The sequence below is a fragment of the Homo sapiens genome, chromosome 4 (genome assembly GCF_000001405.40).
Source record: "Homo sapiens chromosome 4, GRCh38.p14 Primary Assembly".
Lineage (NCBI taxonomy): Eukaryota > Metazoa > Chordata > Mammalia > Primates > Hominidae > Homo > Homo sapiens.
The window spans coordinates 38429805-38447303 of record NC_000004.12 but is presented as its reverse complement, the minus strand read 5'-3'; the positions used below and the strand labels follow the sequence as shown (position 1 = coordinate 38447303).

The following is a 17499-nucleotide window of genomic DNA, read 5'->3' as shown; positions in this document are numbered from 1 at the left end:
CACAAAGATACTCCTCGAGAAGAGCAACTGCAAGACACTTAACTGTCAGATTCAGCAAAGTTGAAATGAAGGAAAAAATGTTAAGGGCAGCCAAAGAGAAAGGTCGGGTTACCCACAAAAGGAAGCCCATCAGACTAACAGCTGATCTCTCGGCAGAAACTCTACAAGCCAGAAGAGAGTGGGGGCCAATATTCAACATTCTGAAAGACAAGAATTTTCAACCCAGAATTTCATATCCAGCCAAACTAAGCTTCACAAGTGAAGGAGAAATAAAATGCTTTACAGACAAGCAAATGCTGAGAGATTTTGCCACCACCAGGCCTGCCCTAAAAGAGCTCCTGAAGGAAGCACTAAACATGGGAAGGAACAACCGATACCAGCCACTGCAAAAACATGCCAAATTGTAAAGACCATCGAGGCTAGGAAGAAACTGCATCAACTAACAAGCAAAATAACCAGCTAATATCATAATGACAGGATCAAATTCACACATGACAATATTAACCTTAAATGTAAATGGGCTAAATGCTCCAATTAAAAGACACAGACTGGCAAATTGGATAAAGAGTCAAGAGCCATCAGTGTGCTGTATTCAGGAAACCCATCTCACGTGCAGAGACACACATAGGCTCAAAATAAAGGGATGGAGGAAGATCTACCAAGCAAATGGAAAACAAAAAAAGGCAGGGGTTGCAATCCTAGTCTCTGATAAAACTGACTTTAAACCAACAAAGATCAAAAGAGACAAAGAAGTCCATTACATAATGGTAAAGGGATCAATTCAACAAGAAGAGCTAACTATCCTAAATATATATGCACCCAATACAGGAGCACCCAGATTCATAAAGCAAGTCCTTAGAGACCTACAAAGAGACTTAGACTTCCACACAATAATAATGGGAGACTTCAACACCCCACTGTCAACATTAGACAGATCAACAAGACAGAAAGGTAACAAGGTTATCCAGGAATTGAACTCAGCTCTGCACCAAGCGGACCTAATAGACGTCTACGGAACTCTCCGCCCCAAATCAACAGAATATACATTCTTTTCAGCACCACACCACACCTATTCCAAAATTGACCACATAGTTGGAAGTAAAGCACTCCTCAGCAAACATAAAAGAACAGAAATTATAACAAACTGTCTCTCAGACCACAGTGCAATCAAACTAGAACTCAGGATTAAGAAACTCACTCAAAACCACTCAACTACATGGAAACTGAACAACCTGCTCCTGAATGACTACTGGGTACATAACGAAATGAAGGCAGAAATAAAGATGTTCTTTGAAACCAATGAGAACAAAGACACAACATACCAGAATCTCTGGGAAACATTCAAAGCAGTGTGTAGAGGGAAATTTATAGCACTAAATGCCCACAAGAGAAAGCAGGAAAGATCTAAAACTGACACTCTAACATCACAATTAAAAGAACTAGAGAAGTAAGAGCAAACACATTCAAAAGCTAGCAGAAGGCAAGAAATAACTAAGATCAGAGCAGAACTGAAGGAAATAGAGGCACAAAAAACCCTTCAAAAAATCAATGACTCCAGGAGCTGGTTTTTTGAAAAGATCAACAAAATTGATAGACCACTAGCAAGGCTAATAAAGAAGAAAAGAGAGAAGAATCAAATAGAAGCAATAAAAAACGATAAAGGGGATATCACCACCGATCCCACAGAAATACAAAGTACCATCAGAGAATACTATAAACACCTCTATGCAAATAAACTAGAAAATCTAGAAGAAATGGATAAATTCCTGGACACATACACCCTCCCAAGACTAAACCAGGAAGAAGTTGAATCTCTGAATAGACCAATAACAGGCTCTGAAATTGAGGCAATAATTAATAGCTTACCAACCAAAAAATATCCAGGACCAGACGGATTCACAGCTGAATTCTACCAGAGGTACAAGGAGGAGCTGGTACCATTCCTTCTGAAACTATTCCAATCAAAGGAGAAAGAGGGAATCCTCCCTAACTCATTTTATGAGGCCAACATCATCCTGATACCAAAGCCTGGCAGAGACACAACAAAAAAAGAGAATTTTAGACCAATATCCCTGATGAACATCAATGCAAAAATCCTCAATAAAATACTGGCAAACTGAATCCAGCAGCACATCAAAAAGCTTCTCCACCATGATCAAGTGGGCTTCATCCCTGGGATGCAAGCCTGGTTCAACATATGCAAATCAGTAAACGTAATCCAGCATATAAACAGAACCAACAACAAAAACCACGTGATTATATCAATAGATGCAGAAGAGGCCTTTTCAAAATTCAGCAGCCCTTCATGCTAAAGACTCTCAATAAAGTAGGTATTGATGGGATGTATCTCAAAATAATAAGAGCTATCTATGACAAATCCACAGCCAATATCATACTGAATGGACACAAACTGGAAGCATTCCCTTTGAAAACTGGCACAAGACAGGGATGCCCTCTCTCACCACTCCTATTCAACATAGTGTTGGAAGTTCTGGCCAGGGCAATCAGGCAGGAGATGGAAATAAAGGGTATTCAATTAGGAAAAGAGGAAGTCAAATTGTCTCTGTTTGCAGATGACATGATTGTATATCTAGAAAACCCCATCGTCTCAGCCCAAAATCGCTTTAAGCTGATAAGCAACTTCAGCAAAATCTCAGGATACAAAATCAATGTACAAAAATCACAAGCATTCTTATACACCAATAACAGACAAACAGAGAGCCAAATCATGAGTGAACTCCCATTCACAATTGCTTCAAAGAGAATAAAATACTTAGGAATCCAACTTACAAGGGATGTGAAGGACCTCTTCAAGGAGAACTATAAACCACTGCTCAATGAAATAAAAGAGGATACAAACAAATGAAAGAACATTCCATGCTCATGGATAGGAAGAATCAATATCATGAAAACGGCCATACTGCCCAAGGTAATTTATAGATTGAATGCCATCCCCATCAAGCTACCAATGACTTTCTTCACAGGATTGGAAAAAACTACTTTAAAGTTCATATGGAACCAAAAAGAGCCTGCATTGCCAAGTCAGTCCTAAGCCAAAAGAACAAAGCTGGAAGCATCGCGCTACCTGACTTCAAACTATACTACAAGTCTACAGTAACCAAAACAGCATGGTACTGGTAGCAAACAGAGATACAGACCAATGGAACAGAGCAGAGCCCTCAGACATAATGCCACATATCTACAACTATCTGATCTTTGACAAACCTGACAAAAACAAGAAATGCGGAAATGATTCCTTATTTAATAAATGGTGCTGGGAAAACTGGCTAGCCATATGTAGAAAGCTGAAACTGGATCCCTTCCTTACACCTTATACAAAAATTAATTCAAGATGGATTAAAGACTTAAAGACTTAAATGTGAGACCTAAAATCATAAAAACCCTAGAAGAAAACCTAGGCAATACCATTCAGGACATAGGCATGGGCAAGGACTACATGTCTAAAACACCAAAAGCAATGGCAACAAAAGACAAAATTGACAAATGGGATCTAATTAAACTAAAGAGCTTCTGCACAGCAAAGAAACTACCATCAGAGTGAACAGGCAACCTACAGAATGGGAGAAACTGTTTGCAATCTACTCATCTGACAAAGGGCTAATATCCAGAATCTACAATGAACTCAAACAAATTTACAAGAAAAAAACAACCCCATCAAAAAGTGGGTGAAGCATATGAACAGACACTTCTCAAAAGAAGACATTTATGCAGCCAAAAAACACAGGAAAAAATGCTCATCATCACTGGCCATCAGAGAAATGCAAATCAAAACCACAATGAGATACCATCTCACACCAGTTAGAATGGCGATCATTAAAAAGTCAGGAAACAACAGGTGCTGGAGAGGATGTGGAGAAATAGGAACACTTTTACACTGTTGGTAGGACTGTAAACTAGTTCAAGCATTGTGGAAGTCAGTGTGGTGATTCCTCAGGGATCTAGAACTAGAAACACCATTTGACCCAGCCATCCCATTATTGGGTATATACCCAAAGGATTATAAAACATGCTGCTATAAAGACACATGCACATGTATGTTTATTGTGGCACTATTCACAATAGCAAAGACTTGGAACCAACCCAAATGTCCAACAAACATAGACTGGATTAAGAAAATGTGGCACATATACACCATGGAATACTATGCAGCCATAAAAAAGGATGAGTTCATGTCCTTTGTAGGGACATGGATGAAGCTGGAAACCATCATTCTCAGCAAACTATCGCAAGGACAAAAAACCAAACACCGCATCTTCTCACTCATAGGTGGGAATTGAACAATGAGAACACATGGACACAGGAAGGGGAACATCACACTCTGGGGCCTGTTGTGGGGTGGGGTGAGGGGGAAGGGATAGCATTGGGAGATATACCTAATGTTAAGTGAAGAGTTAATGGATGCAGCACACCAACATGGCACATGTATACATATGTATCAAACCTGCATGTTGTGCACATGTACCCTAAAACTGAAAGTATAATAAAAAATAAATAAATAAATAACGAATGTGTGAATCAATATGCAACTGTAAGAGAAAAAAAGAATAAAAATTTAATGCCAATGTCTCAAATCTGTGATTATTATTGTAACATTATTATAAATGCTTAGGGTGAGTAAAGGAAACGTTAGTCTTTTAAAAACGGATATGTTAGGTTAAATGACTATGGGGGATTTCCACTTCCAGTCCCCTTTGGAGTAACCAGATCCAAATTTAGCCTCCTACCTGAAAGAGTCAAAAATGTGAATATACATATGAAGCAACAGTACTCAAGATTATGGGTACCAGGCAATGAAGAATAAGGATCCCTAATTGATGAGAAGCAAATGATGTGAACCCTGTAACCCCCTGAGCTCTTATTACCTGGAGAACATTTCTAGATCATGATGCAGTGTTGGGGAATGCAGGCAGAGCTGAGTGGTGGTTTTCCTGATTCCAGATCCACATTTGGGAGCCCAGGGAAGCCAAGATAGCTGGAGTTCACAGGGCAGACTAAGAGAGAAAAGACCCGCACAGACAGTGTTCCAGATAACTGACTGTGTATAGAGGAGCCTGACCAGTGATGCATGGGAGGAAATGATCACAGGCTGAGAAAGGAGCAGCTGAAAAGATGAGAAGGAACACGCCCTGGAAACTATAGTTTTTTTTTTTTTTTTTTCAACAAATGGTGCTGGAAACTCTACTATCTGTGAGCACAAACATACAAAACCTTTGATCTAGATCTCATCCTAGATACAAAAGTTCATCCACAATGGATCAAAGACCTAAATGTAAAACATAAAACTGTAAAATTTCTAGAAGAAAACCTACGTTCAAGTGATTCTCCTTTGTAGCTCTGGGTTAGACAAAGACTTTTTAGACACAACACAAAACGCACAACTCATAAAAGATAAAAAATAAATTGAGCTTTATCAAAAGAACTTTTGCTCTTAGAAAGATGCTCTTAGAAGAATTTTTTTTAAGTCACAAACTGGGTAAAATACTTGAAAATCTCTTATCTGCTAAATGACTTGTCTTCACAATAAATAAAAAACTCAGCACTAAGAAAACCAACAACTCAATACTGGACAAAAGATTTGAGGAGACATTTTAGCAAAAAATATTTGTGGTTAGTAAATAAACTTATGAAAATATGCTCAACACCATTAGTTATTAGAGAAATGATATTGAAACCCTAATGAGATACCACTAAACACCTATTAGAATGGCTAAAATTAAAAAGACTGACCATAGCAAGTGTTGACAAGTGTATGGAGCAACTGGAACTCTCATACATTGAGTGTAGGAACAAACTATGGTAAGTCCATTTGAAAAACAGTTTTCCAGTTTCCTAAAAAGTTAAATATACAACTATGCAATGATTCAGCCCTTTCACTGTTAGATATACAGGAGAAATGAAAGCATGTGTTCATATAAAGACTGGTACAGATATTCATATAAGCTTTATGTATAATAGCCAAATATTGAAAACAACTCAAATGTCCATCAAGGCAAATAGATAAACAAATTGTGATACACTCATACAATGGCAAACTTCTCAGTCACAAAAGGAAATACGTTACTGATACACACAACAACATGGATGGATTTCAAAATAATCATACTGAGTGAATGAAACCAGAAGAATAAAAAAAGATGAAAATGGAGTGTATATTGAATGTGTCCATTAATATAAACACCTGGAAAATGCAAACTAATCTGTAATGATAGAAAGAAGATCCGTTATTGCCTGTAGATGAAAGTCAGAGAGAAGTGTGTGGGAGAGACTACAGAGTGGTACAAAGAAATTTTTTGGATTGGTTAATATGTTCAGCATTTTGATTGTGGTAATGAGTGTATATGCATGTCAAAACTCATCAACCTGTATACTTTAAACATGTTCAGCTTACTGAATATCAATTATACCTCAATGAAGCTGTTAAGAAAATATGAATATAGCTTAATATGGCAAAAATTATGAGGGTGGAATGACTGAATTTTGCAAACACATCATGAAATTGTTCTATTTCTTATAATTTTCCTATCCTTCTTTCTTATTCTCTTTTTCTTGCACCTCCTTCTTTTTTATCCTCCTCTATTTTCTCTAAGAATAGGTGATAATAGTTTGGTACTACCAGGTATGAGAGTGTATAAGATGCCCCTGGCCTCAATAGAAGAAAGGGCTTTCTGACAGTTTCTGTTCTCTAAAGATTCAATAGAATAATCTGTTTCATAAGATAGGGAGGTCTCCTTCCCAGGGATCCTGCAGCATAGACTAAATGAATGCTTGGCAGGGATACAGTAGCATTGGATGAGATGTTGGGCCAAATCAGTGGCTTTCAAACTTGTTTATTTGCTTTTGTCTTTTTTTAACCCATAAAACTCTTTCTACAAATGAATGAAATCTTAGGTGGAAGACAAATACATAGAGAAGAAAAAATGAGGCAGTTCCTTGTTTGAAAAAAGTTGGGGCTCAGATCCTAAGTACTTGGCCCCATCTTAGACCTACTGTCGTGTTCCCACCCACATTTTCTTGGGTAGATGACTCTTACTTGTTCCAACTCTGAAATTCTATAAACTTTTAGTTGCAGTGGGAGTAATTGAGGGCTATGAATAGGAAGTTTTTGCCCAAATGATCCCATTAGAGCCAGGAGTTGAGGTGAAGGTTTGACCACATCTTAGTCATCTGAGAAAAAGTGGATGCATTTGCAATAAAAAGGGCAGTTAGGTTCTTTTCAACTGAAATATGTAATTATAACATTGATAATCTTTTTCCCAGATGGAGTATAACACGGCTACTATTTATACAAACATACCAGCCCATTTTCCTTTTCACTTTCTGAGAAAGAAAGGGTTTTAAATAATGGGTTGGTTTAATAACAATTTGGTCTTTCTGTCTCCAAGTATTTTTTTCCCTCCCTTTAACCCTTAGCATCCCAACTGTGTTTGACCACACTTGAGGCAACAGGAGAAGCCATGCTGTTTTTTTCTCTTTTTTTTTTATTATTATTATACTTTAAGTTTTAGGGTACATGTGCACATTGTGCAGGTTAGTTACATATGTATACATGTGCCATGCTGGTGTGCTGCACCTACTAACTCATCATCTAGCATTAGGTATATCTCCCAATGCTATCCCTCCCCCCTCCCCCCACCCCACAACAGTCCCCAGAGTGTGATATTCCCCTTCCTGTGTCCATGTGATCTCATTGTTCAATTCCCACCTATGAGTGAGAAGATGCGGTGTTTGGTTTTTTGTCCTTGTGATAGTTTACTGAGAATGATGATTTCCAATTTCATCCATGTCACTACAAAGGACATGAACTCATCATTTTTTATGGCTGCATAGTATTCCATGGTGTATATGTGCCACATTTTCTTAACCCAGTCTAACTTTGTTGGACATTTGGGTTGGTTCCAAGTCTTTGCTATCGTGAATAATGCCACAATAAACATACATGTGCATGTGTCTTTATAGCAGCATGATTTATAGTCCTTTGGGTATATACCCAATAATGGGATGGCTGGGTCAAATGGTATTTCCAGTTCTAGATCCCTGAGGAGTCGCCACACTGACTTCCACAATGGTTGAACTAGTTTACAGTCCTACCAACAGTGTAAAAGTGTTCCTATTTCTCCACATCCTCTCCAGCACCTGTTGTTTCCTGAGTTTTTAATGATCGCCATTCTAACTGGTGTGAGATGGTATCTCATTGTGGTTTTGATTTGCATTTCTCTGATGGCCAGTGATGATGAGCATTTTTTCCTGTGTTTTTTGGCTGCATAAATGTCTTCTTTTGAGAAGTGTCTGTTCATGTCCTTCGCCCACTTTTTGATGGGGTTGTTTGTTTTTTCTTGTAAATTTGTTTGAGTTCATTGTAGATTCTGGATATTAGCCCTTTGTCAGATGAGTAGGTTGCGAAAATTTTCTCCCATTTTGTAGGTTGCCTGTTTACCCTGATGGTAGTTTCTTTTGCTGTGCAGAAGCTCTTTAGTTTAATTAGATCCCATTTGTCAATTTTGTCTTTTGTTGCCATTGCTTTTGGTGTTTTAGACATGAAGTCCTTGCCCATGCCTATGTCCTGAATGGTAATGCCTAGGTTTTTTTCATATACATAAGAATGATAGAAACATTTCAGTCAGAGGAGGGGCCAAGATGGCTGAATAGGAACAACTCCAGTCTGCAGCTCCCAGTGAGACCAATGCAGAAGGCAGGTGATTTCTGCATTTCCAACTGAGATACCCAGTTCATCTCATTAAGACTGGTTAGGAAGTGAGTCTGACCAATGGAGGGCAAGCAGAAGCAGGGTGGGGCATCACTTCACTCAGAAAGTGCAAGGAGCCCAAGGCCCTCCCTCCCTCAGCCAAGTGAAGCCATGAGGGACTGTGCTACTCAGCAGGTTACTACACTTTTTCCACGGTGTTTGCAATCTGCAGATCGGGAGATTCCCTCATGTTCCTACACCACCAGGGACCTGGGTTTCAAGCATAAAACTGGGCAGCTGTTTGGGCAGTCATTGAGCTAGCTGCAGGAGTTTTTTTTCATACCACAGTGGCGCCTGGAACCCCAGCAAGACAGAACCATTCACTCCCCTGGAAAGGGGGCTGAAGCCAGGGAGCCAAGTTGTCTCGCCCAGTGCATCCCACTCCCATGGAGCCCAGCAAGCTAAGAACCACTGGCTTGAAATTCCTGCTACTAGCACAACAGTCTGAAGTCAACCTGGGATGATCAAGCTTGGTGGGGGGAGGGGTGTCCACCATTACTGAGGCTTTAGTAGGTGGTTTTCTTCTGATAGTGCTAAGGAGGCCAGAAGGTCTGGACTGGGTAGAACCCACCAGAGCACAGCAAAGCTGCTGTAGCCAGACTGCTTCTCTAGATTCCTCCTCAATGGGCAGGGCATCTCTGAAGGAAAGGTAACAGCTCCTGTCAGGGGCTTACAGACAAAACTCCCATCTCCCTGGGACAGAGCACCTGGGGGAAAGGGTGGCTGTGGGTGTAGCTTCAGAGGATTTCATCCTTCCTGCCTGCTGGCTCTGAAGGGAGCAGCTGATCCTGACAAGAGGGATTCTCCCAGCACAGCACAGCAGCTCTGCTAATGGACAGACTGCCTCCTAAAGTGGGTCCCTGACCCCCGTGCCTCTTGACTGGGGGAAACCTCCCAACAGGGGTTGACAGACACTTCATGTAGGAGAGCTCTGGCTGACATCAGGCCAGTGGCCCTCTGGGATGAAGCTTCCAGAGGAAGAAGAAGGTGCAATTTTTGCTCTTCTACTGCCTCCACAGTGATACCCAAGTGAACAGTATCTGGAGTGGACCTCCAGAAAATTGCAGCAGACATGCAGAAGAGGGGTCTCACCATTAGAAGAAAAACTAACAAACAGAAAGCAACAACATCAACATCAACATAAAGGACCCCCTACAAAAACCCCATCCAAAAGTCATCAGCCTCAAATGTCAAAGATAAATCCACGAAGATGAGGAAAAACCAGTGCAAAAATGCTGAAAATTTCAAAACCCGGAATGCCTCTTCTCCTCCAAATGATCGCCACTCCTCTCCAGCAAGCACACAAAACTGGACAGAGAATGAGATTGATTAATTGACAGAAGTAGACTTCAGAAGGTGGGTAATAATAAACTCCTCTGAACTAAAGGAGCATGTTCTAACCTAAAGCAAGGAAGCTAAGAACCCTGATAAAAGGTTACAGGAACTGCTAACTAGAATAACCAGTTTAGAGAAGAACATCAATGACCTGATAGAGCTGAAAAACACAGCATGAGAACTTCATGAAGCATATACAAGTATCAATAGCTGAATTGATCAAGTGGAAGAAAGGTTATCAGAGATTGAAGATCAACTTACTGAAATAAGCCATGAAGACAAGATTAGAGAAAAAAGAATGAAAAGGAATGAATAAAGCCTTCAAGAAATATGGGACTATGTAAAAAGACCAAACCTATGATTGATTGGTGTGCCTGAAAGTGACAGGGAGAATGGAACCAAGTTGGAAAACACACTTCAGGATATTATCCAGGAGAACTTCTTCAACCTAGCAAGACAGGCCAATATTCAAATTCAGGAAATACAGAGAACACCACTAAGATACTCCTTGAGAAAAGCAACCCCAAGACACATAATCATCAGATTCTCCAAGGTTGAAATGAAGGAAAAAATGTTAAGGGCAGCCAGAGAGAAAGGTCAGGTTACCTACAAAGGGAAACCCATCACACTAACAGTGGATCTCTCTGCAGAAACACTACAAGCCAAAAGAGAGTGAGGTGCCAATATTCAACATTCTTAAAGAAAAGAATTTTCAACCCAGAATTTCATATCCAGCCAAACTAAGCTTCATAAGTGAAGAAGGAATAAAATTCTTTACAGACAAGCAAATATTGAGGGATTTTGTCACCACCAGATCTGCCTTACAAGAGTTCCTGAAGGAAATACTAAATATGGAAAGGAACAACTGGTACCAGCCACTGCAAAAACACACCAAAATATAAAGACCAATGACACTGTGAAGAAACTGCATCAACTAATGTGCAAAATAATCAGCTAGCATCATGATGACAGGATCAAATTCACACATAATAATATTAAGCTTAAATGTAAATGGGTTAAATGACCCAATTAAAGAACACAGACTCGCAAATTGGATAAAGAGTCAAGACGCATTAGTGTGCTGTTTTCAGGAGACCCATCTCATGTGCAAAGACACACATAGCCTCAAAATAAAGGGATGGAGGAATATTTATCAAGCAAATGGAAAGAAAAATAATCAGGGATTGCACTCCTAGTCTCTGAAAAGACAGACTTTAAACCAACAAAGATAAAAAACAAAAGAAGGGCATTACATAATGGTAAAGGGATCCATGCAACGAGAAGAGCTAACTCTCCTAAATATATATGCGCCCAATACAGGAGCACCCAGATTCATAAAACAAGTTATTAGAGACCTACAAAGACACTTAGACTCCCACTCAATAATAGTGGGAGACTTTAACACCTCACTGTCAATGTTAGACAGATTAATGAGACAGAATATTAACAAGGGTATTCAGGACTTGAACTCAGCTCTGGACCAAGTGGACCTAATAGACATCTACAGAACTCTCCATCCCAAATCAAGAGAACGTACATTCTTCTCAGTGCCACATAGCAATCATTCTAAAATCAACCACATAATTGGAAGTAAAACACTCCTCAGCAAATGCAAAAGAACAGAAATCATAACAAACAGTCTCTCAGACCACAGTGCAATCAAATTAGAGCTCAGGATTAAGAAACTTACTCAAAACTGCACAACTACATGGAAATTGAATAACCTGCTCCTGAGTGACTACTGGGTAAATAATGAAATTAAGGCAGAAATAAAGAAGTTCTTTGAAACCAGTGAGAACAAAGAGATGATGTACCAGAATCTCTGGGACACAGCTAAATCAGTGTGCAGAGGGAAATTTATAGCACTAAATGCCCACATCAGAAAGGTGGAAACATCTAAAATCAACACCCTAACATCACAATTAAAATAACTAGAGAAGCAAGAGCAAACAAATTCAATCAAAAGCTAGCAGAAGACAAGAAATAACTAAGATCAGAGCAGAACTGAAGGAGACAGAGGCATGAAAAACCTTCAAAAACTCAATGAATCCAGGAGTTGGTTTTTTGAAAAGATCAACAAAATAGGTAGACCACTAGCTAGACTAATAAAGAAGAAAAGAGAGAAGAATCAAATAGACACAATAAAAAATGATAAAGGGGATATCACCACTGATGCCACAGAAATACAAACTACCACCAGATAATACTATAAACACCTCTACACAAATAAACTAGAAAATCTAGAAGAAATGGATAAATTCCTGGACACATACACCCTTCCAAGACTAAACCAGGAAGAAGTTAAATACCCAAATAGACCAATAACAAGTTCTGACATTGAGGCAGTAATTAATAGCCTACCAACCAAAAAAAGCCCAGGACCAGACGGATTCACAGCCAAATTCTACCAGAGGTACAAATTGGAGCTGGTACCATTCCTTCTGAAACTATTCCAAACAATAGAAAAAGAAGGAATCCTCCCTAACTCATTTTATGACGCCAGCATCCTCCTGATACCAAAGCCTGGCAGAGGCACAACAAAGAAAGAAAATTTCAGGCCAATATCCCTCATGAACATCAATGCAAAAATCCTCAATAAAATACTGGCAAACTGAATCCAGTAGCACATCAAAAAGCTTATCCACCACGATCCAGTTGGTTTCATCCCTGGGATGCAAGGCTGGTTCAACATACACAAATCAATAAACATGATCCATCACATAAACAGAACCAATGACAAAAACCACCTGATTATCTCAATAGATGCAGAAAAGGTCTTCAATAAAATTCAACATCCCTTCATGCTAAAAACTCTCAATAAACTAGGTATTGATGGAACATATCTCAGAATAATAAGAGCTATTTATGACAAACCCATAGCCAATATCATACTGAATGGGCAAAAGCTGGAAGCATTCCCTTTGAAAACCGGCATATGACAAGGATGCCTTTCTCACAACTCCTATTCAGCATTGGATTGGAAGTTCTGGCCAGGGTAATCAGGCAAGAGGAAAAAATAAAGTATATTCAAATAGGAAGAGAAGAAGTCAAATTGTCTCTGTTTGCAGATGACATGATTGTATATTTAGAAAACCCCATCATCTCAGCCCAAAAATTCCTTAAGCTGATAAGCAACTTCAGCAAAACCTCGGGATATAAAATCCATGTGCAAAAATCACAAGCGTTCCTATACACCAACAATAGACAAGCATAGAGCCAAATCATGAGTGAGCTCCCATTCACACTTGCTGCAAAGAGAATAAAATACCTAGGAATACAACTTGCAAGGAATGTGAAGGACCCCTTCAAGGATAACTACAAACCACTGCTCAAGGAAATAAGAGAGGACACAAACAAATGGAAAAAAATTCCATGCTCATGCATAGGAAGAATCAATATCGTGAAAATGGCCATACTGCCCAAAGTAATTTATAGATTCAAGGCTATCCCCATCAAGCTACCATTGACTTTCTTTGCGGAATTAGAAAAAAAACTACTTTAAATCTCATTTGGAACCAAAAATGAGCCCGAATATCCAAGACAATACTAAGCAAACAGAACAAAGCTGGAGGCATCATGCTACCTGACTTCAAACTATACAACAAGGCTATAGTAACCAAAACAGCATGGTACTGGTACCAAAACAGATATATAGACCAATGGAACAGAATAGAGGCCTCAGAAATAACACCACACATCTACAACCATCTAATCTTCGACAAAACTGACAAAAACAAGCAATAAGGAAAGGATTCCCTATTTAATAAATGGTGCTGGGAAAACTGGCTAGCCATATGCAGAAAACAGAAACTTGACCCCTTCCTTACACCTTATACACAAATTAACTCAAGATGGATTAAAGACTTACATGTAAAACCCAAAACCATAAAAACCCTAGAAGAAAACCTAGGCAATACCACTCAGGACATAGGCATGGGCAAAGACTTCATGACTAAAACACAAAAAGCAATTGCAACAAAGGCCAAAATTGACAAATGGGATCTAATCAAGCTAAATAGCTTCTGCGTAGCAAAAGAAACTGTCAGAGTGAACAGGCAACCTACAGAATGGGAGAAAATTTTTGCAATCTACCTATCCGACAAAGATCTAATATCCAGAATCTACAAGGAACTTAAACAAATTTACAAGAAAAAAACAACTCCATCAATAAATGGGCAAAGGATATGAACAGACACTTCTCTAAAGAAGACATTTATGAGGACAACAAACACATGAAAAAAAGCTCATCATCACTGGTCATTAGAGAAATGCAAATCAAAACCACAATGAGATACCATCTCACAACAGTTAGAACAGTAATCATTAAAAAGTCAGGAAACAGCAGATGCTGGCAAGGATGTGGAGAAATAGGAACTCTTTTACATTGTTGGTGGGAGTATAAATTAGTTCAACCATTGTGGAAGACAGTGTGGTGATTCCTCCAGGATCTAGAACCAGAAATACCATTTGACCCAGCAATCCTATTACTGGGTATATACCGAAAGGATTATAAATCATTCCACTATAAAGACACATGCACACATATATTTATTGCAGCACTATTTACAATAACAAAGACTTGGAACCAACTCAAATGCCCATCAATGATAGACTGGATAAAGAAAATGTGGTACCTATACACCATGGAATACTATGCAGCCATAAAAAAGAATGAGTTCATGTCCTCTGGAGGGACATGGATGAAGCAGGATGCCATCGTTCTCAGCAAACTAACACAGGAGCTGAAAACCAAACACCACACGTTCTCACTCATAAGTAGGAGCTGAACAATGAGAACACATGGGCACAGAGAGGGGAACATCATACACTGGAGCCTATCAGGGGTTGAGGGGTAAGGGGAGGGAGAGCATTAGGACAAACACCTAATGCATGCAGGGCTTAAAACCTAAATGATGGGTTGATCGGTGCAGCAAACCATGGCACATGTATACCTATGTAACAAACCTGCACGTTCTGCACATGTATCCCAGAACTTAAAGTAAAAAAAAAAAAAAGAATGATAATGTAATCATAATCATTTGATACTTTGATAGAAATGATGAAGTGAGCATTTACTGAGATCTTACTAAGTGCCACACATGGTGTGATGGTTAATTTTATGTGTTACTTTGGCTGGGCCACTGTCCACAAATATATGGTCAAACATTATTCTGGATGTTTTTGTGAGGGGGCTCTTGGATGAAATTTATACTTAAATCTTTCGATTTTGAATAAAGCAGATCATTCTCCATAATGTGGGTGTCCTCATCCAATCAGTTGAAAGCCTGAAAAGAACAAAAAGCAGATCTTTCTTGAGCAAGAAGGATTCTCCAACAGACTGCCTTCAGACTTCATCTGCAGCATCGGCTCTTCCTGGTTCTGCAGTAAACTGTTCCTGGACTTGACTACAGCTCTTTCTCGAGTCTCCAGCCTGCTGGCTTCGTCTATGAGATTTTGTACTCACCAGGCATCCACAAGCACATGAGCCAATTCCTTAAAATAAATCTCTTTCTATACAGATATGCAGCCTATTGGTTCTGTACCTCTGAAGAACACTGACTAAATACACAGTGCGAAGAGTATTTTAAATGTATTGATGCATCTAATTTTCTCAACAATCCTATGAAGTCCGAACATGGTACTTTAAGAGGTGTTACAATTTCACAGGTAAAGGAATGGAGGCTTAATAAGATATGGCACCCAAGGTCTTCCAGCTGGTAGGTGACAGAGCCATGATTATATTCCAAAGTTCAGGGACCAAACCATTTTGCCTTGTTGCACTAACCAGCCTTTGATATTTCTTGGCCTTGGTAATTCTGCATAGGCCTCTGCACCAGCCATCTGGAATCTGACTTTGACCAGACTCTTCCTTCCTGTCAGGGGACTCCTGAGAGACTACTTGGTGTCTGCCTTGGAGCCAGAAACTCCTGACCACTCTCTGGCAAACTCAGGCGTGATTCTTTCCTTGCTAAGCCTCAGTTTCTTCATCTACAAAGGGAGGGTAAGTCACTTCACCAGCCTGTTGTGAGGGTTGAATGTGAGTGTATATAGTGTCCACCTCACCACCTGCAGGCACTGGGTACTCAAATGCAAACACCCTCCCCTCCCACCATGCCCTAACATGTATCTAAATGACACAAGTTCACTACAGTTGGATCTTATACACACCAAACTCCTTAGAGAGTGAGTCTTTCTGTATGCCATCTGTATTAGTCAGCCAGGGCTGCTGTAACAAAATACCACACACTGGGTGGCTTAAACAACAGAAGTTTATTTCTTATAATTCTGGAGGTTGGAAGTCCAAGGTTTGGTTTCTTCCGAGACCTCTCTCCTCGGCTTGCAAGTGGCTGCCATATCCTCTGTGTGTGTGCATTCCTTGTTTCTCTTTGTGTGTCCAAATTTCGTCTCCTTATAAGGACACATATTGGATTAGGACCCTCTTTAATGGCTTCATTTTAACTTAATCACCACTTTAAAGGCCCTGCCTTTAAATATAGTCACATTCTAAACTGCATGAGGTTAGAGCACATTCAGTCTATAACATCATCTTACCCCTCAGGTTCCAAGGACATGCTGCCCGGGAAACCCACTGTGTCCCACCTTTCCTGCTTTTCCTTACTGAAATTGATGCACAGCACTTTTCAACATGGTTGTCCCTTCAAACTGTCCACCAATTTGGCACCATTTCTTCAGGATTATGCTAAGAGACTAGCCAAGCTGATCAGAAATGAAAGGGAAGTGCTGTGGTTCCTCCAAATTCTATGAACTTGTCTTTGTCCATTGGTTATAGACAGTTGACCAGAACAAGTACCAGGCACTTTCATAGAAATTGCTTTAATTCTTAGTAAAGTGCACAGCCTGTCACCACTACCATCAAACACCCCCACAGCCTACTAAGAAAACTGCTCCAGGGAGCAAGGAGGCATTGTGAAGTATATTTCAAACAATAGTTATAGTAAAGAACATGATCTCATGAGAACCATTGCTGTTGACTCCAGGGACTCTTGCATTCTTTACATTGACTCCTATCTGTCTCTGAGGGAGCTACCCCTGCTCATGCCAAGGTGCCTGTTAATTCTGAATCTATGTTTCTGAGCCCTAGTGTTTTTGCTTTTGTTCTTCCTAACATCTATTGGTCGACATCCAACATCCAACATGGAACACCCTTACTGATAACAGTTCTAAGGCCAGATACCTCATGGGCCACAAGACTTCCTTAACTCTAACCTGCTTCTGTCTGTCTTTGACTGAAGCACCCATACTAGGTCCAATCTGGGGTGCTTAGAGAAGTAGGGTCTCACTATACAAAGACAGTGACTTATCTAGAAGAAACCCGTGAGAGCAATTTCTGAGGAAGAGCATGTGGGCAGCCAGGCACCACACCTCTGCCCTCCCTCTGG

The 17499-nt window shown here is 39.8% G+C and overlaps 1 long non-coding RNA gene across 1 annotated transcript in view; it reads left to right on the top strand.

Annotated features, from left to right (window-relative positions):
• The window catches only part of LINC01258 (long intergenic non-protein coding RNA 1258), a 102519-nt gene that overhangs the window by 75877 nt on the left and 9143 nt on the right, over positions 1-17499 (top strand). The window contains exon 7 of the long non-coding RNA NR_110951.1: positions 15980-16100. This is a non-coding gene — a long non-coding RNA (long intergenic non-protein coding RNA 1258). The remainder of the gene's footprint in view (positions 1-15979; positions 16101-17499) is intronic.